At 37.5% G+C, this 27,349-nt stretch overlaps 1 long non-coding RNA gene across 3 annotated transcripts, besides 2 other annotated features; it reads right to left on the bottom strand.

Annotated features, from left to right (window-relative positions):
- Positions 1-26,973, bottom strand: LOC107986570 (uncharacterized). Of its 3 annotated transcripts, none has more exons than XR_001743976.2 (4): positions 26,612-26,973; positions 9,350-9,468; positions 4,239-4,322; positions 1-447 (listed from the first exon to the last, which is right to left on the bottom strand). It is a non-coding gene; the product is annotated as an uncharacterized LOC107986570 (long non-coding RNA). The 3 variants fall into 3 exon arrangements; XR_001743975.2 differs by lacking the exon at positions 26,612-26,973 and adding an exon at positions 16,592-16,957; XR_001743977.2 differs by lacking the exons at positions 1-447; positions 4,239-4,322; positions 26,612-26,973 and adding exons at positions 6,886-7,517; positions 16,592-16,963.
- Positions 22,391-22,450: an enhancer, noted in NCBI's record as "active region_23999". NCBI's record gives its function as "activates an Ori minimal core promoter by ATAC-STARR-seq in GM12878 lymphoblastoid cells {active_cell/tissue: GM12878}" and the evidence as "EXISTENCE:reporter gene assay evidence [ECO:0000049][PMID:35858748]".
- Positions 25,152-25,374: a silencer, noted in NCBI's record as "fragment chr6:11935862-11936084 (GRCh37/hg19 assembly coordinates)". NCBI's record gives its function as "represses an EF-1alpha promoter that drives an FKBP-Casp9 reporter gene in an ReSE screen in phorbol 12-myristate 13-acetate-treated (for megakaryocytic differentiation) K562 erythroleukemia cells {active_cell/tissue: K562(+PMA)}" and the evidence as "EXISTENCE:reporter gene assay evidence [ECO:0000049][PMID:32094911]".
- Positions 26,974-27,349: the final 376 nt, after the last annotated feature.

Raw genomic sequence — 27,349 nt, 5'->3', positions numbered from 1 at the left:
TGAGAAAAGCAAAGGCTGTTTATTCCAAGCTTGCGGTAGCAGGGAGTCGGCTACCATCACTTGAGTTTTGGCAGAGGCTCAAAGGCAGTCAGAGGAGTGGGGAAGCTTTCATCGTGGAGAAAAGGGAAGGCTCCGAAAGTGTGCTGATTGGAAGCTGTTGGCGTGGGAAGCTGGAGGCGGCTCACTGGAAGTGGGGCATCAGGTGCATACTTGGCTTTCTCTGGTTGTTCTTCTGTTGGAAGTAGGGCCAAAAATTAGGGAAGCTGTCAGTTACTCATCAGTCAAGTCCTGGCCACTTTGGTCCTGTTATTGAGGTGTTCTTTTCTGTCTTCCTGGATCAGTTGCTAGAGACAGTGGTCTGGCTTCCTACAAGTCTAGCTTCTAGAGAGCAGGCTGGCTTCCTTGGTTGGTTCCTCTGGATAATGGGCTGGCTTCCTGGGCTGGTTGCTGCAGGTTGAGGGTCAGAATTCTGTTTTTATTTATGATCTAGCCATTGCCCATTTCTATAGTCAGACTCTCAAATCTGAACACACACCTCTGTGTTGGGGAGTCTGGAGTGCTGGGGAGAGGGGCACTTGATGAGGCTGGAGAGGAGGCAGGGGCCTGATCATACCAAACCTTACAAACCACAAGTCAGGGCTGGAGCTCCTTCTCATATAATGGGGAGCTACTGAAGGGTTTTGAATAGAGGAGGGACCTGATTGGATTTGCGTTTTAAAAGGAACACTTTTGTTGCTGGGTGCCTTATGGATTTGAGAGGCAGGCAGTGCAGAGAACAGTCAGGAGGCTGTTGCAAGAAACCAGACATAAGACAACGGTAGCTTAGACTAAGGTGATGGTATCTCAGCTGCATAGTAATCTGTGACCAGGAATCTTTTCTGAGCAGTTAATCATTTGGATATAATTTAGCTACCTGTCTCTCTCCTATAGGTGGTGATTGAGCTGCATGTTGACTTGTTATATTATTATTATGAATTAATAAGTTGGCATTGCAGTGCACACATAAATCTGTCAGGAGTTTATTCAGTATGAGCCAATTGCTAATCACCATGGGTGCGTTTACAAAATTATCCTTAGATCCAATCAGTGCAGCGCAGACACAGTGGCCACACTGTGTTCCTACCACACTGTTTGTGCAGCCATTTGGCTTCCCAAAAGGGCCCTATATCTATCCCTATATCATCATTAGTATCTTGAAATCACACAAATAATAGTTATTCCTACTAACCTTCTTCTTGCTAGGCATTTATATCCCTTCAGCATATTTCTGGGTCCGATTATTCTGGCTTGTTTACTCATTCATTCATTGAACACCTACTGCATGCCAGATACAAGGCTCAGCACTGGGAACATAATAGAAGACGAGACAGGCACGGTTCCTGCCTCCCTTCAGTCTATACGGGAAAGTGGGGGTTGGGGGAGGGGTCATTAAACAAGCATACACTCAAGTGAATATATAATTATACATGTCTGTAAGTGCTATAAAGGGAAAGATCAGGGATCAAAATGATGGAAATGGGGCTATTTTAGATTGTGTGATCAGGGAAGCAGTCACTGATAAATATTTAAATTGAGGCATGAATGATGAGAAGGAATCAATGCAGTAAAAATCTGGGGAAAGTGAGCATGAAGTCTCTGAGGAGGGAAGCGGACAGGGAAAGGAAGCAGCGCTGGCTTGGAAAGTAAGGAGAGCAACTGACGAAGAAGGTGGAGAATGAGAGTGTGTCTGGGCGAGAACTGCTGTCTTGAGGGTCAAGGCAGCACAATTCCCTTAAACAGAAATGGACAAGGCTATTTAAATTTTTAAAAGATCGCTGTGGTTGTTATGTGGATGGGCCGTGGGGAAAGAAGTGAAGGCTGAGAGAAGGTTGGGAGGTCATTGTGGTTGTCCTGGTGAGACGTGTCAGTGGTGGGACCAAGCATGGAAGGTAGAACTCAGTAGAATGACTGGAGAGATGTTTTGGAAGTTGAATTATTGGATAAGATGTGAGGGAGAGGGAAGGGAAATAGAAAATATGATCCCCAGTTTCTGGTTTGAGCAATGGGTGGATGGCTGGAGAATTCTGTTTCTAGACTTCCCCCCATGGGTTTTCTTATGGAATTCAAAGGCTTGCTTTTAAATGGTGCGATCATAGCTTCATCATCATCCACTGCTTCTCAAGTATTTCCTCTAGTTTTGTGTTGGTTCTGCAGTCTTACTCTCTAATTTTCATGTTACTTAATAGTTTATTTACACCTGGCTTTGTAGAACTGATATCTTGCTTCTTAATTTAGTCTAATATTTACTTCCATGTGTACAAGAAATGCATTCACATAATTAAATTTGTTTTGCTTTTACCATTCCAATTTAGTGAACTCTAGGAGTGTGGCTGTGTGAGTCCACAGAACACACCATGTGAACAGCTAGGCTATTAATGGGAGCTGTGTGGACCACTGGCCTCTTCCTCCCTATTTTGCCTTCCAACATAAAATTATATAGATATTCCTTCCATCAATTTACCTGACCTATATAGCTCAATGAACTGTGTTCATTCATATTTTCAAGCTTTACCAAAAGAACCTTTTCCTTAATTTAATCTTAGATTAAATCTAAGATTAGTTTAATCCTAGATTAAACCAAGGAATACATATTTTTGGTTGCATATTCTACTTTTAGCCCATTTTTCCCCCTTTTAAGGTTGATCTTAAAAGTTGAACCGAACAGCTATATTTACATAAAGCTGCTCTAAATCATACAGAAGCTTATTTTTTACTTTATATTTTTAGTTCCATATATCATAAATGAATATATTCCCCATGTAAAAATTCAAACCAAGAATTACATGAAACAAATCTAAATTAAAGTATGTAAATTCTCCTTTGTCTGTATCTATGTATGCATGCAAATATATGTATGTAATCATACTCTATCAACTGATATGCAACTTGTTTGTTACACACACAGCAAAATATATTGAAGATCTTTCCATATCTATACATGTAACACTATCTCATTCTTTTTTTAATAACTGAAACGTATTTCAATGCCTGGATGTTCTGTAGCTTTTTATTAACCATTCTCCTTTTAAGGAATATTAATGCTGTTTCCAGTAATTTGCTGTTACAAACAGTTCAAATGACCTTTCCTGTACGTGCTTCTTTTGTACACATTTGAGTATTTTGGTAGGTTCATAGAAATCAAGTTCTTTGGTCAAAAGTTATGTGCATCTCATCTACAGCAACAATCTGAGTTTTTGATTTCATGTTCATACAATCAACCCTGAGTAGGAATAATCTTCAAACACTTTTGCCAATTTGGTGAAAGCATCTCAGTAGTGTTTTAATTTGTATTTATTTCTTTATTAAGAGGTTGAGTATATACATTTCCCGTTGACTTTTTTTTGATAAATTGCCAGTTTATATTCTTTCCCCATTTTTCTGTCTTTTTATTTATAGAAACTTTTTATTTATTTTATATTCTAATCGATCTTTTATACACATTTAAATGCTGTCAGCCTGTTCCACATCTTCTAATTTGTTTATGGTATATTTTATCTGTAAACATTTAAAATTTTATGAAATTACATTTTTCAGTTTTTCTCCTTAGACCTTGCAGATTTTTTAATGCTAGGTAGAAAGCGCTTTCCCAACTCAGGATGATAAAAACTATCCTCTAGCTATTATTAAAAAGTCAGAAAACAACAATGCTGGAACGGCTGCAGAGAAAAGGGGACTCTTATACACTGTTGGTGAGAATGTAAATTAATTCAGCCACCATGAAAAGCAGTTTGGAGATTACTCAAAGAACTTGAAATGAAACTATCATTCTACCCAGCATTCCCATTACTGAGTATATATCCAAAAGAAAATAATTTGTTCTACCAAAAAGACATACACACTCATATGTTCGTTACAGCACTATTTATAATAGCAAAAACGTGGAATCAATGTAGATACCCATCAGTGGTGGACTGGATAAAGAAAATGTGGTAATAGACACTATGGAATACTATGCAGCCATGAAAAATGAATGACATAATGTCCTTTGCAGCAACATGGATGCAGCTGGAGGCCATTATCCTAAGCAAGCTAAGCCAGGAAAAGAAAACAAAATACTGCATGCTCTCACTTATAAATGGGAGCTAAACATTGAGTACTTGGGGACATAACGATGACAACAATAGACACTGGGGACCAATAGAGGAGGGAAGGTGGGGGAAAGGGTTGAAAAACTAACTGTTGGATACTATGCTCATTACCTGGGTGATGAAATCAGTTGAACTCCAAAGCTCAGCATCACACAATATACCCAGGTAAGAAATCTGTGCATGAACCCCCAGAATCTAAAATAAAAGTTAAAATTATTTAAAAAAAAAGTTCTTCCGTGTTTTATCTTAATACATTTTATAGATTAAAAAATGACTTAGCTCTTTATGATATTGGATATTTATTTTTGTACATGGAGTTGGTTAGAGATCAAATTCCTGTTTCCAAAACATGTGAGCATTTAAATATCTGTTGAGTAAATAAATGACCTTAATTTTTTCCCAAAGGATTCAAATTATGCCAATACCATTTATTGAATAGCAAACTGTTTCTTCACTAGATGAAATTATCATCAATATCCTCTACTAAATTATCATAGAGAGATAAGTCTGTTTCTGGCCCTTCATCATGTTCCATTGATGTCTGCTTGTGCTCCTATGTTACCATTTTAATAGCTATAGATTTCAAGTATGCTCTGATATTTCCTAGGGCCAGTTATTAAAATTCCTTTAGCTATTCTTAACATATTTTATCTTCCAAATGAACTTCAGAATCCATTTATGAAGGCCTATATAATTTGGTGAGGATTTTAAAGTTGGAATTACATCAAATTTATAGATAATTTGATGTATGTTTAATCTTAATTACTCTTGTCATAAGACCACCATTATAATTAGAGATGTTTGGTTCTCATTTCTGGAAAAATAAGAATGCTTGTCTTAATATTAGTGATTAAGAATTGCTTAAAATAACTGGAAGAGTGTGTGTGTGTGTGTGTGTGTGTGTGTGTGTGTGTGTGTGTGTGTGTCTTGTGCATCTTTAGATGTCTCTTAGTACAGTGCCTAGCAGAGGGAAGTCATTCTATCAGTACTTGTGAAATAAATGTTATTGATTAAAATCTGCAAATTATTACAACTCAATCCTTTTTGCGCTTTTAAAATTGAAATAATTTTAGGCTTAGAAAACAGTTGCAAAAATATTCCAGAGAATTCCTGTCTATCTTCACCTACCTTCCACTTACATAGACATCCTATATAACCACAACACAATTATGGAAAGGAGGAAATCAATATTGATGAGACACAATTAATTACTTCACAAACCTTCACATTTCACCAGTTTTTTCACTAGTGTCTGTTTGGATCCTGGACTATATGGTATTTAATTGTCATATCTCCTAATCTCCTTTCACCTGTGACAATTTCTCTCTCCTTGTGTTTTCATGGCCTTGATACTTTTGAAGAGTGCTCCTGGGTCATTTTGTAAACTGTCCCTTATTTTGCATTTGTGTGTTATTTTCTCAGCATTAGATTGAGATGATGCATTTCTGGTATGAATGCAGGAATGATACTGTGTCCTCAGTGTAACACACCAAGACATACACGATGCTGCTGTCTTATAACTGATGATGTTAACTTTCAATACTATATAAAGGTGGTGTTTGCTGTGTTTCTCCAGAGTAAAATTAGGATGTTCTCTTTTCAATTAATAAATATCTTGTGGGAAGATACTTTAATGCTATGCAAATATTCATCTCATTTTCTTTTCATGGTTTTGCCCAATAATTTTATCATTCTGGGGTTGTTCTTGTGTTTGCCTAATGGTCATTTTATGTGTCCCTCATTTCTTTTATGTCTGTGAAATGAAGTTCTATTGTAAGGAGGAGTATCTTTTTCTTCCCTATTGATTGATTGATATAAGTATAGACTTTTAGATATTTAGTTTATTTCATGGGTTATAATCTGATATTATCATTATTTATTTTGTCACTCAAATTGTTCCAGCTTTGGCCATTGGGAATTCTTACAAATTGGCTCCTCTGTTCTTCTGACATGGCTCTATCATTTTTCAAACATGTCTTTATTTTTTGGCACCACAAGATGTTCTGGGCTTATCTTATATCTTCCCTGCCAGAGCCCTAAATCAACAATTTCTCCAAGAAGTTGTTATTCTTTTTATCAGAGAATCATATTTAGAACCAATATCTTGGCTCTAGGTATGCTAATTGCTACCAGTTTGTCGTTTCTAGGTTTTTTCAGCAGACAGAGCTAGGAAATATGTTTGTATATTAATCTGTGCATAAGCACATACCTATATATCTTTGTCTATCCATATATATATATACTTACATACATATATTTACATATGTATACACATATATACATATGTATACACATATACACATATATACACGTATATTTACATATGTAAATATACGTATATATACACATACATACATATGTATACACATATACATCTATACACATATATACACATATATTTACATGTGTATATATGTATACACATACACACATACACATATATATATACATAAACCATGAATTCATACTAATACCTTTAGTTTTAATACCATACCACACAGTTCATTCTATTCTCCCCCCTTTCCTTATTTGTAACTTTTTTTCTCCAAAAGTGAAAAACCCAACTTTCATTGTCCACATTATATTTACATATTTGTTCAATCCCAGTATAAACTTAAGTAGTATTATGGACATTTTTATTTTAAAAAACCCTCGGATATTATTTGACATAATTCCTTTATTTTACAAGTGAGAAAATCCAGGCCCGCAGTGATTAAGCTGCCAGAAGAAAGAAACAAATTACTAGAAGAATTATAAATGTCAGGATTTTAAATTTTAATATTGTATATATTTTACAGGAGAGTTTAGAAAAGGCAGGAAGTGTAATGTCAGGTCACTGCTGAGAAGAGGCATTAATTTATTTTTTTCTCCACTGTTGCTATTTAACTGAAGCCATTCTAGTTAACACAGTAAGGCATTTGGTGAGCATGGCTTGTATGAATAAAATAACCAAAGGTCAGAAAAATTAGACACCCCACTCATGTGGTGTTAAAACAGCCTCTGGAAAATGGAAGAACCAGTGTTTCATCACCGTGTCTAATTTCCACAATTATAAATACAGCTTAATCCACAGAGGTCACTGAGGTTTTCAGATCTGGTTACAGGAAGTAGACGTAAAGTAGGGATTTTATTTCTTCTTTCTCTTGTAAGTATTATCAACATCTTGTCTTTCATGACTCTATTTCAGCCACAGTGATTGAAAGTTGTAAAGGTGAGTTGAACAGTATGCCTCCTAGAAAGCCATTCATTTTTCCAGCCTGAAAATGGACAGTTATATGTCACGCATTGAAAACCCGATCTTTAAACTGCTTCAGTGTCTCATCTCTCCTCTGCTATGGAGATTTGGGATCCTGTTTTAATGATGCCTTAGGATTCGGATTTCCTTTGAGGCTGGAGAAAAGAAGAGTTTATTCTCACTAAAAAGTGGGCTATGGAAAGAGGTGCTCATGAAGCATCTGGGAATTGAAACGTGAAATTTGTTTTCCCATAAAACAATGGCACACGTGATGATCAGGCTCTACTAACTGTTAATAACACAATGTATATATCTTGTGGGTTGAAATTTAAATTCCACATGTATTGTTATTGCTGTGGGAAATTGTTTCCAAACAATCAACTTGGAAATCAGCTCATAATTGGTGACACCCTGTTGAGTTCATGTATCTGTAGAATTTCAGCAATTCTATTTTACTATATTTATAATTTGTTATTCCTAATTTTTTTTTTTGAGATGGAATCTCACTCTGTCACCCAGGCTGGAGTGCAGTGGCATGAGCTCGGCTCCCTGCAACCTCCATCCCCTGGGTTCAAGCAATTCTCCTGGCCTCAGCCTCCTGAGTAGCTGGGATTACAGGCGCCAGCCACCATGCCTGGCTAAGTTTTTGTATTTTTCAGTAGAGATGGTGTTTCTGCCATGTTGGCCAGTCTGGTCTTGAACTCCAGACCTCAGGTGATCCACCCGCCTTGGCCTCCCAAAGTGCTGGGATTACAGGTGTGAGCCACTGCACCCAGCCAAATTCCTAAATCTTAATTCATGTTCTAGACACATTTTTTTTTCTTTTGTCTTGGCTAGAACAAGACCTAGGAAATGGTAAATTGGATCATTGCCTTGAGTTTTAGGAGCTCTGAAAGCTGGTAGAAGAGCCTAGCTATTTCCAAGGAAAGTTAAAAAGATTTCATGCATCTACAGTCATCTCACAGATAATCCTCATCTTCTTCAAATCAAATACTTCTCCCCAGTTTCAGACTTGCATAGTTACCCTTCCGAATTTTTTCTCCATCCTTTTGCATTTGATATATTTTTAACTTCACGTCATCTATAATGAAATATTTAAGTGGAGATGAGTATGTGGTATTATTGTAACCAAGACTACACTCTGGGGATATGAGTTAGTCATGAATTTTTATCCTGATTCAAGATATTTATAAACATCAAAATGTGGAAAATATGATCTTGCTTTGTGTGTCTTAAAGAACTAGAAATTATTTCTGAGTTGTTTGATTGAAAAGGAGATCTATAAAATTGCCACCTCACAAAACATTGAAGGGTTTGCTGCTTAATTACAAAATAAACCTTCTTACCACAGCATAAGTAGTACACTCTAAAAGGGGTCTTCATATTGCAGAAGACATTATAATAAATCTTTTTTAGAAAATATACTGATTTTTTATGGTTGTTACTTTACTGAATCCCTTTTCTTATTTGTCAACGACAAAAATAGTTCTCAGAGGATGTTTTCTTTCTTTCAGTCCAACAAAGTAAAAATGTTTATAACAATACAAGCGAGCTTGAGACAAAAACAAAAGCAAAAACAAAACAAAACAAAAACCCCAGATGCTGTTATTTTGAGGAATGCACCAAGGGGAATTGTGGAGGGTTGTGAAGAACTGATTTATACACATATGTTTGCAATAATAATTGAACTTAAAATTATACTCCAAATCGATTATATTTTATGTGTTTTCTCTTTTCAAATGTGTTAAGATGAGAAAGTTTCTCTTTAAATTTACAAGGATTTTGAATGCTTAAATTGTTCCCACGACTCACATTAACATCAAGTGGCCTCATGGTGAGAAAAGAATAGTTCCCAGAGTGTCTAAATGACATTCTGAAATGGGTCCTATCAATTTTACTATGTCACTACTCTTCTCATTTTTGATCCATTTCACATTTGAAACAGGAAATGAAGTTATGGTAAAAACATTTGTAAAAACCAGTCTACCTGTTGATGATGAGTGTAGACCCTTCAAAAGCTAGAGCTGGCAGGGCACAAGTCATTGAAAATATTCCGGAGGACAACATGGATAATATTTCCAGTCTTCAAGGGAAAAAGATTTTGCCCTAGGAAAAAATTGAGATACTGGGATGAGAAGTCAGGTAACATTTTACTTTGTTACCAAAGAATCTTATTTAGAGAATTTCTTAGAAAGTTTCTCTCTGAAATAGACCTAAGTGACTGACCCCTCCACAATTTATATCAAAAAGGACTTGCTAAGATTCTAAGCTATTTCAAGTAAAATGTAACTCATTATCATAATTTTTCTGTATTTTTCAACAGTGCTATCTACAAATATGATTAAACATGCAGGGCTAAAATAATCTACGAGTAGTCAGTCTTGATATATGTCCCCCCAACTCAAATTCATAGGTTGAAGCCCTAGACCCCAGTGTGACTGTATTTGGAGATAGGGCTTTTAGGAGGTAATGAAGGTTAAATGTGGTTATAAGGGTGGGGCCCTAGTCTGATAGGATTGGTAGCCTTTTAAGAAGAGGAATAGAAAGACTTATTTCTCTGTCTCTGCCATGTGAGAACTCAGTAAGAAGATGGCCACTTGCAAGCCAGGAAGAGAGCCCTCACCAGAAACTGAATCAGCCAGAACCTTGATCTTATACTTTCAGCCTCCAGAATAGTGAGAAATAAGTTTCTCTTAAGCCACACAGTCTACGGTATTTTGGTGTGACTACTTGAGCAGATGAATACAACTTCTTTAGCAATATTTCCAATAAGCAGCCAGAACTTGTGATTTAAAATATTTCTGACCCAGCTTCTACATGTCCATACACAATTCACAGTTCATAGTGTAAGGACCAAACTGTGATGCAGGCTGAGTTGGCTTTTGGAACCATGAAGCTCCAAGCTTTCTGACTTTTGCTTTTGTAGTGTCTCCCCTCAGCTTGATTTCAAGCTACATTTTACTTGAAATATCAAATAAGGGTCTGTTACCAACAAGTTTCCACTAGAGTACAAGTAGGCTCTCAGCATTGTTCTGGCTTTAAGTCTCTTAAATTCAAATTTTTAATGAAAGGCTAACAAAATGGTGGTTGTAATTGTTTTTGGTTGTTGTTGTTTTTACAAAGGTGGATTGTTTTATCATTTGTTATCATGGAAATCATACCACTTTTACAGGAAGGACTTAAAGGCTAATTTTAGAGTGATGTGGAGACTGAGGTATCAGAAGATAGAGGGCTTATTTCCATGTGCAGCTCTGCTCTGCTCTTTCTGGAAGAATAATCTTTGGGCTGGTCCAGCTGGATTTATTATAAGCCTATTAACAGGAATGACGAGAGTGTTGAGGTATTGCTCAATGTTTTGTCTTTATTTTTGAGTTCCAGCCTCAGGATTAAGAGACTGCTTTACCTTGTAGAAGTGTTTCCGCAATGACAGATTTTTTTTCTCCTTTTCTTTCCCCAAGCACAAGACCAGCTGCCTTCTTTTATACTCTTTTCTTCTTCTGTCTCCTAAGGCTCAGATTCCAGCAATTAAAAATCCATTATTAACTGTCTCCTCTCTCTTTACAGCATAGAGTTATTGCTATCGATGTCTAAGGCAATTTTTCAGTGATTGGATCATCCATTGCTTCAGGCCCATTGATATCCAGTGTCTTGGTCTGTTTGGGCTGCTATAAGAAAATACTTTATTTGGGCTGGACAATTTATAAACAACAGAAATGTAGTCCTCACAGTTCTGGAGGCTGAGAAGTTCAAGATCAAGGTGCCGGCAGATTCAGTGTCTGGCGAGGGCCCAGTCCTCATAGATGGTGCCCTCTATGTGTGCTCACATGGTGGAAGAGACAAATAGGTTCTCTCAGGCCTCTTTTACACGGGCATTGATGCCATGAATGAGGGCAGAGCCCTCATGACCTAATCACTCCCCACAAAGACCCCACCTCTTAATGCTATCACCTTAGGAGTTGGATTTCAGCACAGCAATTTTGCAGGGACACCAACATTCAGGCCATGGCATCCAGCACACAAGAGAACAGCCTTCCTGGATGGTACTGAACAATGATGTTCTTGTGAGCGAAGATTAAGCCTTGTACGTGTCTCTAGATCCAGTTCTGTGGTCCACGGCTTGTGGGAAATATTTGTTACTGACTGGTTGAGTAACTGATGCATGAATAAAAGTAAATGGGTGGGAAACAGCTAGGTGCTGCCTAACAGCCTCAGGAGTGAGGTGGAAATTGGATAGAAGAAAATAAGCTCAGTAAATATGAAGAACCATAAGAACCAACATTCCTGGAACATAGGGCATTGTGTGTAAACAGGAGCTCCCAGAATTCTCTATAGAGTTATGTAGGACTCCAAGTTATTTTTCAGGGAATGCGGCTATGTATAGATGTGTGCACATACCTATGTATGGATTACACTGTGCAGAACATAAGAGATATGAGTTACAAAAACAACCCTAACAATGAGAAGCGATAAGCTACAAAATGTGTTTTGAATATGTAACAGTTACATTGATTGTAGCCACTCAAGTCTCTAGTAATTATGAAGCATAATATCATCTGTGTAAAGCAGTAATTTTATTGTGAATGATAGAATACTAAATTACATTCAGCAATATGTGGTTTTCATTGTGTATTATGCAGGTAGCAGGCTTTGGCGGCATAAATTCAAAAATCTGTATGGATATGACCACTGATAAGTCTCACATGCCACAGTGCCTGACACATAGTAGGTCTTACTAAATATTTATTGTTGAATGAAGCTGTAGGCAATTATACAGAAATCTTCAACTACGGAATTTTAGTAGCATTGAACCACTTGTGTTCTCTCTTACATCTCTGACAAAATCACTTGGAAAACATTTGCATTAGGATAGGTACATTTTTCAATAAGATTTTTATTTTTGTGCAATTTTGTCTCTTTGCCTATGACAATTCTATATACCTATCTGCATATATACAGTTTTTTAAAAGGACAAAGCCTGATGGCCAGCCTGAGACAGCAATTTGATTATTATCAATAGTGATCCAAAGGAGTTGGAGATCTAAAAATATGTAACTGTGTGTTTTTGCAGTGAGAGAAAATTTGATAGCCATTTCAATTTATTTTTTTCCAGCTTGATTAAAGTATACTTGAAAAATAAAAATTGTGTATATTTAAGATGTACAACATGATGTTTTGGTATACATATACATTGTGAAATGATTACGACAATCAAACTAATGAACATATTCATCATCTCACATAGCTATGTTTTTGTGTGTGTGTGTTGAGAACACTAAAGATGAACTCTCTTAGGACATTTCAGATATACAATACATTATTATTAACTATAGTCACCATGCTGTGCACTATTAGATTTCCCAGTACTTACTTATTGTGCATAACAAAATCTTAACACCCTTTGACCAACATCGCCACATTTGTCCCAACCCCCAGTTCTTGGCAACCAACATTTTACTCTGCTTTTATGAATTTGACTTCCTTTAGATTCCATATATAACTGAAACCGTGCAGTATTTGTCTTTCTGTGTCTAGCTTATTTCACTTAAAGTAATAATGTCCTTCATGTTCATCCATGTTGTTCCAAATGGCAGGATTTCTATCTTTTCTTTAAGGCTGAATAATACTGTATTATGTGTATATATACATATATGTATATAACAATTTATTTTTAATTTAAACCGGAGAACAAAAATAACTAATAGCCTACTAAGTGAAAGGTGCATACAAGGTAATTCTCGTGCTCAAATCCAAGTCTGGGTAAAAAAGCCATAAAAACAGTCATGTGTCACTTAACCAAAGGGAATATGTTCTAAGAAATATGCCATTGGGCAATTCTGTCATTGTGCAAACATCATAGAGTGTATTTACATAAGTCTAGATGGTACAAGCCTACTACACACCTAGGCTAGATGGTACAGCTTATTTCTCCTGGGCTACAAAGATGTTGTACAATATGTTGCTATACTGAATAGGCTAGGCAATTGTAATCAGTGTTAAGCATATGTGCATCAAAACATACTAAACATAGAAATAATGTGTTGTGTTATGACATTATAATGGCTATGATGTCACTGGGTGATAGGAATTTCTTAGCTCCATTATAATCTTATGAGACAATAGTCATATATGTGGTCTGTCATTGATCAAAGCATTGTTATGCAGCACATGAGTATATATGGAAAATGATTGCTAAACGCAAAAGGCAAGGGGTTCAGATTAGAGAGCTGGACCTAGACCACATCTGAATCAAAGCAGTGGAAGGCCAATACTAAGCTAGAAAAGTAGCATTGTAAACAACACAATTGGGTTGACAGGAACAGAGAACAGAGATGAGAACTCTAAAGGCACAGCATCAAGTCACAGAATTTAGTACCTCCTTTCTCCTAGTGGATGACCTCCCTCACTGCACTCCACATAGAGAACAGCTTTCACGCAGGAGGTCCTGCAACTTCCCACCCATTCAAACCATTCTGAGTTCCAAATAAAATGATTATAAGCAATCCATTCCTAGGTAATAGTAAATTTTTTTAATTTCACAGATAAAGAAAATAAATTATATAGGCATGAAAGCAGAAGAAAAAACCTAGGTAATGGTAACATACTATCTCAGAGTTCTCAATAGGATGTGAGTGTGTGTGTGTGTGTGTGTGTGTGTGTGTGTGTGTATAAAGAGATTTATTATAAGGAATTGAGTCAGTGGGCTGGAGAATCAGGAGAGCCAATGGTTTAAGTTCCAGTATGAACTGAAGGCTGGTAGGTGTGAGTCCCAGGAAGAGATGATACTTTAGTTCAAGTCCAAAGGCAGGAAAAAACCAATGTCTCAGTTTAGAGGCCACCACACAGGAGGAATTCTCTCCATTACTCAGGGAAATTTTGAGGGTTCCAATCAGGCCATCAAGTGATTGGATAAGGCTCATCCACAAAAGGAAGTGAACATTTTGCAACAAGTCAATTTAGTGATTTAAATGTTAAGTGCATCCAAAACTACCCTCACAGAAACACCCAGAATAAGAGTTGACCAAATAAATGGATACCCTGTGGCCTAGTCAAGTTGACACATAAAATTAACCATCACACATACAAAGGCTAGCCTCAGACTTTGTCTCCACTATTCTGTATATCAAACAACAATAGTTATACATTTGTGAAGGAAAAGATTGCAGTGTAAGAATTCTGTATCCTGCAAAGTGTTATTCACGTGTGATAGCAACAGAAGGGATATTGTATATGTGTAAAGGCTCAGAAAGTACCCCTGTACGCTTCCTAAAAAATTTACTGAAAGATATATGATAGCCAACTTAGACACAAGTAAAATCCAATAACTCAGCAGTTTGAAATACAGGGTAAACAAGCACTGTGAATAATTATTACAGATAAATGGTTAATAATCTTAGTGGTCTTGAGAAAGACTTTGAACAGCAAAAAAAAAAAAAAAAAAGGCACTAAATCCTCAAAATATGACCAAATAAACATTGCTCAGAAAGACCTAAAATGCTATTAAATATTATATATAATAAAATTAGAATTAAAAATTGTTACATGTCAAATAGGAAAATTTAAAATATGAATAAGATCTGAATGTTGTGAAACAATACCTCTCATTCCACTCATGAGTATTTTTTTGAAAAGCCATTTTACAAAATGAATTAAAAGTCATAAAACATGTTCAAATCTTTTTACTCAACATTTCCATTTTGGCAATTTATCTCAAGGAATTCATGAGAAGCATGCACAAAGATGTTAATGTGAAGATGAAAAATTAGAACGAAACCAACTAGCCGATAATACAGGAATGGTTATTTAAAACGGCCCATTCATATAAGATGTTATGCAGCCCTTACAAGCCATATTTTGAAGACTAATTAATGATCTCATACAACACTTGCTCTACAGTATATGAAAAAGGCAAAATATATACTTACAACCAGTAGGTCTCAATTTTGTTAAACGTATTTAATGAGAGACAGTTTAAAGACTAGAGGGCTAAATACCAATATGTTGCCAGTCCTTAGTTATAGGAAATAGAATTGAAATTATTTAATTTTTCTTCCTTGCATTTGTATATACTCCTCAACATTTTTTCACTGGACTTTGATTTAAAAATTCTTTTATTTAAAAAATCAAATTTTATTTAACAAAGATTATCTCTTAAAATGTCCATTAAAAACTTAGTTTATTAAAAAATCTAACAAGCTTTTCTAATAAAAGCAAATAATTTGTCTCACTGATAAACCTATAAAGAAATAGAATATTTACACTGCTACTGAGGCAAGACAGAAAGGTGTAAATAAGCAAAATTTTTGTGGAATTAAATTTAGATATTAGTAAAACATAGTCTCAAAAGAATTTACTCATTCTGACATAGCAATTCAATTTATGAACTCTTTCTTTCTTTGTTTCTTCTTTTTTTGAGACAGGGTCTCACTCTGTCATTTAGGCTGGAGTGCAGTCGTGCAATCATAGCTCACTGTAGCCTCAAACTCCCCCTGGGCTCAGGTGATTCTCCCACCTCAGCCTCCTGAGTAGCCGGGACTACAGGCGTACTCCACCACATCTGGCTAATTTTGCTCTTTTTATTTTTTTGTAGAGATCAGGTTTGCCACGTTGCCCAGGCTGGTCTCTAACTTCTGGGCTCAAGTGATCCTCCCACCTTAGCCTCCCAAAGTGCTAGGATTACAGGCATGAGCCACCGCACCCAGCCTGAACTCTATCTTAAAGGCATAAAAATGCACTTTTAATTAAAAAGATTTTTATACATGGATGCTTATGCAAAGCATTTGGAACAACCCAATTGTTAGCAGTAAAGGAAAGGTTAAACAAAATTAATAGAGTCATTTGTTGTAATATTGGTCACTCATTAGAAATCATGTTGTCAGAAATTATTCAATGATGCTGGAAGATACAGTATAATAGTAAGTAAAAATGTAGAATATGAAAATTGAAGTAGGATAAAAAGTGTATAAATATGTAAATAATGGAAGAAAATACTCCAGAATATATTTAGTAATTCTCTCTGGATAGTGACAATATAAAAGGTTTTTACAAAATATTATACTATTTTTAAAACATATATATAAACATAAGAGCAATAATCCTTTTATTTTACTCTCAATGGCTTAAAACATTCTCCAGTTTCCTTAACATGTCACACAGGTCTATTTCCAATCTATGTTCTGAGTACCTCCAGTCTCATTCCCCATCACCACTGAATATTACCTAATACTCTTACCAAGCTGGATATTTACAGCTCTCTGAGAAGTTGGGTTCTTCTGTTGCATGACTTTGGGTTAAATAGCTTTGCTTCCAAGAATAACCTTCACCCTTTTTCAACCCATTCTGGTTAATGGTTAAATAAAAACATCAAACATTAGATTAAGTATCACCTTCTAGGGAGGCCTTCTGGATCTTTCCACGGAGGGGAGGTAATGTACCTTTACTCTCTGATCTAATATTACTATTTACATTCCTTTTATAGCACTTGTCACACTGTCTTAAGATTAGTTATTTGTCTGCTTCTTTCTCTCATATGTAAAAGGCTTGAAAAAGTAGCGTAAAGATTTTTGGTAGGGTACTGTGGATACTCAAATATAGGCACTCACTTAAATAGTTTTAATTAATGGATATCTGATTACACACACTTTAAATTCCTAAAAACATAATCACCCATCAAATCAATCACCAATGAAAATAATTAACAAGGATTCAATATTATATTAGAATTTTTATTTACAATGTAAATCATATTTACCAACCTATGACTTATGTATTAGTGTCACAGAGATATTTACATGTATAGGCTTATTGAATGAGATAGATTTTACAGAGTGCAAGGAAAAATAAACTTTTTTTTTTCACCACTGCTTCTGCAAACCTTGCTGTGTGGGTCCATGTCTTCCTGCACCTTGGTAAAGTATCAGCATGTCCTAGAACTATTGGCTTCTCTCTCAGATAATGAGTCCTTTGTCTCTTCCAGAGGGAAGAAAGTCCAGGACAATGTGATGTCAAAATGCCAAGATTTCAAACAATTTGAAACTTTTCCTCCTTCCTTAGTTCATATCTGATTACTCAACCCATTTTTAATTTCTCTTCTTTCCCCAGGTCAGGTCTAACTGACCAGATAGTTCATGAGCTTCCCCTACCTTTTAAAATTACCAATTTTCCAATTACCTCTCTTGCAATTGGGTTGGGGCTATGTGACTAGTTCTGGCAAATGGGCTAGATGCAGTTAAGAGTGATGTGAGTGGCACATGCTCTTTCTTCCTCTCATACAGCTCCATGTTGAGGTGGCAGCATCACAACATGGTGCAATACCCGTTATCCTGGATCCACCTGAATGAATCAGTGGAAACGAGTTCCCGTCTAATAAGCACTGGATATACAGCATGAACACATAATAAATCTTGGTTGTGTTAAGCTATTGAAATATGGGTGTTTATTTGTAACCATGGATACCTTATCCTTTTTTTTTTCTTTTGAGATGAACTTTTGCTCTTGTCCAGGCAGGAGTGCAGTGGCGCGATCTTGGCTCACTGCAAACTCTGCCTCCTGGGTTCAAGAGATTCTCCTACCCCAGCCTCCAGAGTAGCTGGGATTACAAGCACCCGCCACCATGCTCAGCTAATTTTTGCATTTTTAGTGGAGACGGGGTTTCACCATGTTGGCCAGGCTGGTCTTGAACTCCTGAGCTCAGGTGATCTGCCTGCCTCGGTCTCCCAAAGTGCTGAGATTAACAGGAGTGAGCCACTGCGCCTGGCCCCTTATTCTATCTTGACGAATTCAAATAGAATTGATGAATTAGTCTTCACTCTAATTGTAATTAGCTGGAATTTGACCTGTGATCCTTCCTTGTATTTATGTCTGCCTTCTTCCTCTTCTCCCTCACTCTTGTTGCTACATTGGGTTATCTTTTTCTCCTTCATGATTTTCCCTGTCTCATAACTCCAGTCACCAAGATCATCAAACTTCTTTTGATCCAATCCTACTCATTTAATGCTACCCCATCACTCTGTCATGTTGCTCAGCACCTCTTTTTGTGATGACTAGACTATTGTAATAAGCCCTCATCAATCCATTGCCTCTTTTATCTTGTATAGGGTGCCACACAGCTTTGATCGTATTATTTGCTCAGAAACCTCTTGTTCACCTGTGTAATATCTGAACTCTTCTTAGGCTGACATTCAAGGTCTTTCATATCAGTTTCAACCACTCAGCAATAATAACTCCTGTTTTCTCCTATATGTTCCTGCTATCTCTGATCCTCCCTACAAACGTGTCATTTCCTGCCTTTGCTCATATCAGATGCTCTCTAGCTAGACTATCCAAATACTGGCCACCTTCTGAGCACAGCTCAGGTGCCTCCTCCTCCAGGTAGGAGCCCTACTGGCCCTGGTGCTCTCTCCTTCCTCTGAACTACTCATACGTACTGTCTAAAGCACCTGTTTAATGCGCACCTGTGTGCTGCTTTTTCACATTTCAAGGTTCCAAAACCTGCCAAGAAAATCGTGGAGTATTTTTCCAAAAATTGTTATAGATGCCTGCATTCAGATTCTAAGAAATAATCATTTCATTAGTCCCATGCTTTAATAAGTCTTAAGAAATAAAATATGTAAATCAAATTTAATTTTCTCATCTAAAGCATCAATCGATGATTTAGAAAAGATAGAAGCCTGAACAATAATACTGAATTGTAAATGTGCATTACCAAGTCCTATGTGTTATTTTACTTATGAACTCAGTTTTTCTTTCCATTGCTCTTAGATACCTGAACAATTCAATCTTGTCATCAAGGTAATTGAACTGACCTCTCTGAACAAAGCCAAGGCACATGATCTCATTTAAAATTCACTTGCGTAACAGAGGAGTTGAAAACCGAAAACCGTATGTTCTCACCTGTAAGTGGGAGCTTAGCTGTGAGTACGCAAAGGCATACAGAGTGATGTAACGGACTTTAGACATTCAGAAGGGGGAGGCTGGAAGGGGGGCTAGGGATAAAAACTGCACATTAGATACAATGTACACTATTTGGGTTACTGGTGCATTAAAATCTCAGAATTTACCACTATGTAATTCATCCACGTAACAAAAAAACCCACACATACCCCAAAAGCTATTGAAATAAAAAAAAAAAATTCACTCGCATTGTTGTCCATTTACTAATTATGTTTATGTTTTTTAAAAAGCCAAGCATTATTGAATTGTGTACCCCAAAATGATTTGTTGTTCAACAAATAGGAGTACTGGGGTACTCCTAACCCACAGTACCTCAGAATATGACCTTACTTCAAAATAGGGTTGTTGCAGATATAATTAGTTAAGATGAATCATCCTGGAGAAAAAGGTGGACCCTTAATGCAACATGAGTGGTATCCTTGTAAAGAAGAAGGGAGAGACACAGGGAGAAGGCGGCCACGGAAACAGAGTTTGGGGTAATGACGCCGCAAGCCAAGGGTGGCTGGCAACAATCAGAAGTGAGGCTGGCGGCATGGAACACACGGCCTCCCTAAATTCCCAGAAGGAACCAACTATGCCAACACCTTGATTTTGAACTTACAGCCTCTAGAAGTATGAGAAAAATTAAATACATATATTTATATATGTGTATGTGTGTATTATATATTATATAATTTATATTATCAATATATTATATTATATATTAATATAATAAATATAATTTATTATATATATTTAATAAATACATTATAATTTATTATAAATATAATATATAATAATATAATAAATATATATTGTATACATATTTGTTGTTTTAAGCAATCCAATGGCATTTTGTTACAGCAGCCCTGGGAAACTAGAGCACTAAGTATTCAAGATTACTACTTTTTTTTTGAGACAGAGTTTCACGCTTGTTGCCCAGGCTGGAGTGCAGTGGCGCAATCTCGTCTCACTGCAACCTCTGCCTCCCGGGTTCAAGTGGTTCTCCTGCCTCAGCCTTCCCAGTAGCTGGGACTACAGGCACCTGCCACCACACCCGGCCAATTTTTTGTATTTTTAATAGAGACAGGGTTTCACCACGTTGGCCAGGCTGGTCCCAAACTCCTGGCCTCAATTGATCTGCCTGCCTTGGCCTCCCAAAGTGCTGGGATTACAAGCATGAGCCTACATGCCCGGCCAAGATTATTACATTTAACAGTGATGCTCTATCAGAGGGGGAAGTGAGCTGTGGCCTGTGCATCAAATTCTGCTTGTTACCCGTTTTCATAAATACAAAATTGAAGCATACCCATGATCATTACTTTATGAATTATCATGGCTGCTTGCATGCTGTAATGGCAGAGTGGAGTAGTTATGAGAGGGATTATCTGGCCTACACAACCTTAAAATATTGACTTTCTGGTCCTTTGTAGAAAAAGCCTTCCAGTTCTTGATACATGCTACTAAGCCTTTAATTAAAACGTTGAAATGTTTAAGAGTCTAACTAGATTTTTGGTTAGCTCTCAAAACTGAAACCCATTCTTCTCTGTATTAGAACAGGCTACGCTTGCTACAGTAAATAACAGCTCCTAAAGTTCAGGGTTTTTAAAAATACAGTAAAAGCTTATTTCTCACTCAGGTAATGTCCACTATGGGTCTGGGAAACACTGCCCAATGCAGTGATTTGCAATGCAGCTTGCTTCAATCTAAAGTCTCTATTATCTTATAGACTTCTGTCAACCTTGCAGATTTAAAGAACTAGAGAATTGCTCAAGGTTTTTCCATGCCTTGGCCTGGAAGTGACACACTTCATTTCCTTTCACATCCATTGGCCAGAAACAGTTATGTGACCCTGTCTAACTGCAAGGAGGCTGGAAGAAATAGGAGGATGAATAGGATATTCCCGAGTACTGTTATCACCACGCTACTAAATACCTTGACTGAGTATTATTATAAAATTAGCACTTCAATGACTTCTGGAATTTAAAATAGTGAATATTGTTGTAATAGTGAATATTGTTGAAGAGTCACAGGTAAGTACTCTTATTATCAGGTAATTTCTTGGGAATCTCTATTAGCCATTTGTAAACTTGTGAACTTTATAAATGGCGAGACTGAGATTTTGTGAAACGTCATAAATGATATATATTTTTTTCCTTTTGCTATTGTCAAAGAAATACCTAATGTGGCTTAAAAGGCATTACTCAAATTAAGAAATAAAAAAATCTGAATATGTACACCTGGCACTAGGCTGTAAGCACGTTTAAGCAGTATTACTAATCTCTGTCCCTCTTCATACACGTGAAAGGAACTGGCTCCAGAAGTCACACACTTTATTTGTATATGCAGAAACAGATATCCCATATTTAGGTTTTTTTTTTTTTTAGACCGAGTTTCACTGTTGCCCAGGCTGGAGTGCAGTGGTGCGATCTTGGCTCACTGCAACCTCCGCCTCCCGGGTTCAAGCAATTCTCCTGCCTCAGCCTCCTGAGTAGCTGGGATTACAGGTGTGTGTCACCACACCCGGCTAATTTTTGTATTTTTAGCAGAGAGGGGGTTTCACTATGATCCACCCACCTCGGCCTCCCAAGGTGCTGGGATTACAGGCGTGAGCCACTGCTCCCAGCCATATTTAGGGTTTTTTACATATAGAAGTATAGAGTTTTTTTTTTTTTTTTTTTTTTTTGCTGGACACAAGCAATTAAAGAAAATGAAATACCAAAAATAAATAAATAAATACATAAATAAATAAACCTTTGCAATCCCAGCAGTTGCTCCCTAGCTGGAAGAGAATGAAGGAATGAGACAAGGACTCAGGAGATTGTTGGGCCATCTACCCCCTGCCTTACAGAGGGAGTTGTCAAGAAAAGAGATCAGCAGGTGCTCCGGAGGGAAAGTGGCTTGGCCAAGGTTCACAGCCTGCGTTGTTCAGATACCATGACTGCTGGGCTTGCTCCCCCTATAGCGGTGGGGGAGGTTCAGATGTTGTCAGGATAAGGAAGTTCCTTATTTCCCTGTCTTCCTGCCACTGGACGCTCTCAAGCCCTTCATGCTCTGTCCCAGCTTGTGCCTCTGCTCCTTTGGCAACTGCTCCCTTCCACTGTTTGTGTGCCAGCCTGGCAGACCAGAAGGGACAGTTTGGTTCCTTCTGTAGCATTTCTCCAGCTCTCACCAGCATCCATCCTTTCACTGTGTAGCCCCAGGGAATGGATCGGGGACTCTGTGATCTTTGCTTTCCTTTAAAAAGTTTGTTTTTGCACGTCCACTGGAGCCGATCATTTTCTCCTATTCGCCTTGGTGACATCTTAGCCTTGAGGTTTATCTGAAATGTGATTGTTGCTGATTGATTGCTTCTAAACATGCTGGTGCAGCCATTTGAAAAATTAGTAGAGTCAGGGTTTTTCTTTTGTTTTGTTTTGAGAACAGTCAAACCAGTTTGTGCAAAAGTATAATTATATACTTCAATTTTCCTCATAAAAGCTCAAAAGCATGGTGTAATCACTTGTACCATTAAGCTATCTAAATGTGCTTATTCAGACCAAGTGTAAATAATGCCAAGAAAAGAATATGCTGGAAAAAGAAGAACTGCATCACACATAAGACTATCCTGCATGATGATTGTACATAAACAGGTATTAAATCTATGGAGAGACACTGTGAATTCATGCTTCTTACAGAAGACAAGCTTTTAAAATATAAAATCAAGTTGTGTAGTAAGAATGGCAATACAGATTCATTTGAGCCACTGAACTCAATACATTTTTAAATTGTATCCATTTACAGAGCAAAAAAATTAAGTGGATCTCAGCAGCAGATGAAATTAGTTATACTTACATGAATTTGACTAATCATATATGCATGGTTGCAAAAAATTGACTACTTCCCAACTCAAGTTTAACTGCTGTCAATGCTAGAATCTATAGGACCAAAATTATAACTTTATAATTTGTAAACTTTGTCCATGTACATAATCTCATTGATCTGCATTGATTTCTTATGAGGCAGGTATTATGATTCTCGTTTTGCTGGTTAAGAAACTGAGGCTTCACAAGGTTTGTGACCTCCCTAGGATCACCTGAACATTAAATGATCTTGGAGAAAAAAATCAAAAACCTCTACTGTCAGTTCTTAATTAGCAACCAAAGCTCTTTGTTCATTGAAATGTTTAGATATTTTCCTCATTTGAGAATTCATAAATGGTTCTAGGTGTATTTTCTCAAGTTACTGTACATCACTGTTGGAGGAAAATTTCTTATACACAATGCCCACATCTACTCTAGGGGTCAATCAACCATTCCAGGTATTTTGATCTTCTTCTTACGTATTTTTCATTGGTAGGAGTTTGGGGTAGGCTTTTGGTTTGCTTTAGGCACAGTTTATATGTAAAGTTTATAATCTCAAACAGGGAAGGAATTTAATCAGTTCTAAATTAAAAAGGCTAAGGAGGTTTCACTTTCAGAAAGATGAACTTTTATTTTTTCATAAGATTATTCGATGCTTTCCTTTTTACTACAAGTACCCAGTGTATGCAAAAAAAAAAAGTAATTTGTGGAATCAATATTTATTATCCCAAAAAATATGTAATTATAAATGGAAAAGGCCTCTAATGTAGTAAAATAATAATAAAAATCTATTAGTATGGGAGGCTGAGGCAGGCGGATCATGAGGTCAGGAGTTTGAGACCAGCCTGGACAACATGGTGAAACCCTGTCTCTACTAAAAATACAAAAATTAGCCAGGCGCGGTGGCGGGTGCCCATAATCCCAGCTAACTGGGAGGCTGAGGCAGGAGAATCACTTGAACCCAGGAGGCGGAGGTTGCATTGAGCCGAGACTGTGCCATTGCACTCTAGCCTGGGCGACAGAGTGAGACTCTGTCTCAAAAGTAGAGGAGAGTAGAGGAGAGTAGAGAGTAGAGGAGGGGAGGGGAGGGGAGGGTAGGGTAGGGTAGGGTAGGGTAGGGTAGGGTAGGGTAGGGTAGGGTAGGGTAGGGTAGAATAGGGTAGAATAGAATAGAATAGAATAGAATAGAATAGAATAGAATAAAATAAAAATATAGGACCTATCACTGTTTCCAATGTACCTTGGCAAATTTTCCTCCTACTCTGGCTATCAGGAAGCTCAGAGTCTAATTTATAGCCTAAATTTGCACTAACTACATCTTAATATCTTTCCCGATTTCTTCTGCAAGATTTTCCCAGATACTTTGAATTTGATACTGATGGGATAAACCTTTTAATTATAATTTGTCTCAATTCCATTAAGAAAGTTGGTGTAATTTGTTTAACGTTATTTCAACATTTATTAATCACCTACTATCTACGTGATCTTATGATACAGAGGTAAGCAGAACACCAGCTTCTGCCCTCAAGCCAATTATGAATTCCCATACAGACAACTAAAACTAAATAAATATGCGAACAAACAAATAGCTCATGCATAGATACAAGCATGGGTCTAGACTACCACATGAATCAAATATACCTTTTAGTTGTTAACGAAATCAACAGACCTTCCATCTCATAGCATGGTAGGTACATTTTATATATATATATACCTGTTGAATAAATTAGTTCATTCATGCCTGGATGAAAAAAACTATAAAATATAAACATGAATATATAATGAAATAAATAAAATTTCAGAGAAAACAATGTTATAGGTTAAAAATCCAGGAAAAAATAGAACTAATTCTAGAGTGATCTCGAGAGTTTTTTGTTTTCATTTTTCTTTTGAGACAGAGTCTCACTCTGTCACCCAGGCTAGAGTGTGGTGGTTTGATCTCGGCTCACTGCAACCTTCACCTCCCAGGTTCAAACCATTCTCATGCCTCAGTCTCCCAAGTAACTGGGATTAAAGGCACCCACCACCACGCCTGGCTAATTTTTGTATTTTTAGTAGAGAGGGAATTTCACCATGTTGGCCAGGCTGGTCTCGAGCTCCTGACCTCAGGTGATCTGCCCACCTCGGCCTCCCAGAGTGCTGGGATTACAGCTGTGAGCCACCGTGCCCAGCCGAGAACATGGAGTTTTTAGGTCCTCCCTGTCCCAGCATGTCAACAGGCAGCAGGGTCATGGAGTGCAGTCTGCCTCTTGGTGCCTCACGGTCCCATGTTACCCTCTCCATGGTCCCGTGTTACCCTCTCCATGGTCCCGTGTTACCCTCTCCATGGTCCCGTGTTACCCTTCACCACATTAGATACAGGTTGAGATCTCCGTTATACCAAGGACCTCACCTACCTTGAGCATGTCATCCAGAGAGACCTCTCTGAATCATCTTAAATACTTCATTGACATGTCATGTTCAACTACGCTACCATACAGGGCATTCCTTCATCTGCTGAGTACCTATCATGTGAAAGTTCCTTTGAGGTGGGGGATAAAAAGAATAGAAAGGGACTAAAAAATAATTCATCAAAAGTGAAGTACTGATGGTTCTAACCAGCTGGATCACTGATATTATATACTTTTATGAAACTAGGGATGTCGTAACAGATACATAAAGTACTCTAAAAACTGATTTGGGGAGAAAAAATGTTTATGGAAGATGTCTCATAATGCTTTAGGAGTATCTACTGCTGAAATCACTGAAAAGGTCATGTATTAAATAGATCTGATGTAGTCAAAAGCATCTCATATCTTCCAACAAAATGAACAATGGATCCTTCTTAGCAACAAACCACTGAGAAAAGAATTGTGCTTCTCATTAGGCATTCTGTAATTCCGCAGTCTATCTTCTGAAAGGCCTGTACAAGGTAAATCTTTCTTTCCTTTTTCTATCTTATATTGAACGTGGGGAAGGTTAAGGCAAAGAGCAAGAGCTTTCTTTGTGAAGGCACTACAGATAGGGCTAAATTGAGTTCCTCCTACCTCCGCTTGTTATCAAAGCTGCCCATAGTACAAAAAGTACTCTTTGCCACACAGATTTGTACTTGTAAATATGTTGCAAAACCTCGGTGAGACTTGCTAGGGCAGACCAATCTCGTTTGTGCAATAACAATCATAAGTGAAGGTTTAAAAGTATTCTCGCATCCAAAAATTATCCCATAAACTGGATTCTACCTTACTTACATTTTCCCAAATTCGCTAGGCCTTTCCTGAAATTCAATATTTTTAGCTTAAAAATGAATATGTGAACGGTCTACATGTTCACAGGATGCTCAGGAACAGAAGGAACCAATGAAAGAGCCACCAGGTTAAAGCCTTCTTTGAAAACAATTTGCAATTAAAGGGCAATTGAAAAATTGGTGAAGGGTTTGCATATAGAACCTGCTTGTTTTAAACTATTGTGTCCGGAATTGGTCGGTTCTCGGTCTCACTGACCTCAAGAATGAAGCCGCGGACCCTCGCCGTGAGTGTTACAGCTCTTGAGGTGGCGCGTCTGGAGTCTGTTCCTTCTGATATTCAGATGTGTTCCGAGTTTCTTCCTTCTGGTGGGTTCGTGGTCTCGCTGGCTCAGAAGTGAAGATGCAGACCTTGGCGGTGTTATAGCTCTTAAGACAGTGCGTCCGGAGTTGTTTGTTCCTCCCGGTGAGCTCAGTGGTCTCGCTGGCTTCAAGAGTGAAGCTGCAGACCTTTGTAGTGAGTGTTACAGCTCATAAAAGTAGCGTGGACTCAAAGACTGAGCAGTAGCAACACTTATTGTAAAAAGCAAAAAAAACGAAGCTTGACCTCAGCGGGTTGCCACTGCTGGCTGGGGCAGCCTGCTTTTATTCTCTTATCTGGCACCACCCACATCCTGCTGATTGGTAGAGCCGAGTGGTCTGTTTTGACAGGGTGCTGATTGGTGCATTTACAATCCCTGAGCTAGACACAAAGATTCTCCACGTGGCCACTAGATTAACTAGATACAGAGTGTGGACACAAAGGTTCTCCAAGGCCCCACCAGAGTAGCTAGATACAGAGTGTCGATTGGTGCATTCACAAACCCTGAGCTAGACACAGGGTGCTGATTGGTGTGTTTACAAACCTTGAGCTAGATACAGACTGCCTATTGGTGTATTTACAATCCCTGAGCTAGGCATAAAGGTTCTCCAAGGTCCCACCAGAGTAGCTAGATAC

Source organism: Homo sapiens, chromosome 6, assembly GCF_000001405.40.
Source record: "Homo sapiens chromosome 6, GRCh38.p14 Primary Assembly".
Classification (NCBI taxonomy): domain Eukaryota; kingdom Metazoa; phylum Chordata; class Mammalia; order Primates; family Hominidae; genus Homo; species Homo sapiens.
The sequence above is the reverse complement of the archived record's forward strand: the minus strand, read 5'-3'. Positions and strand labels throughout refer to the sequence as shown.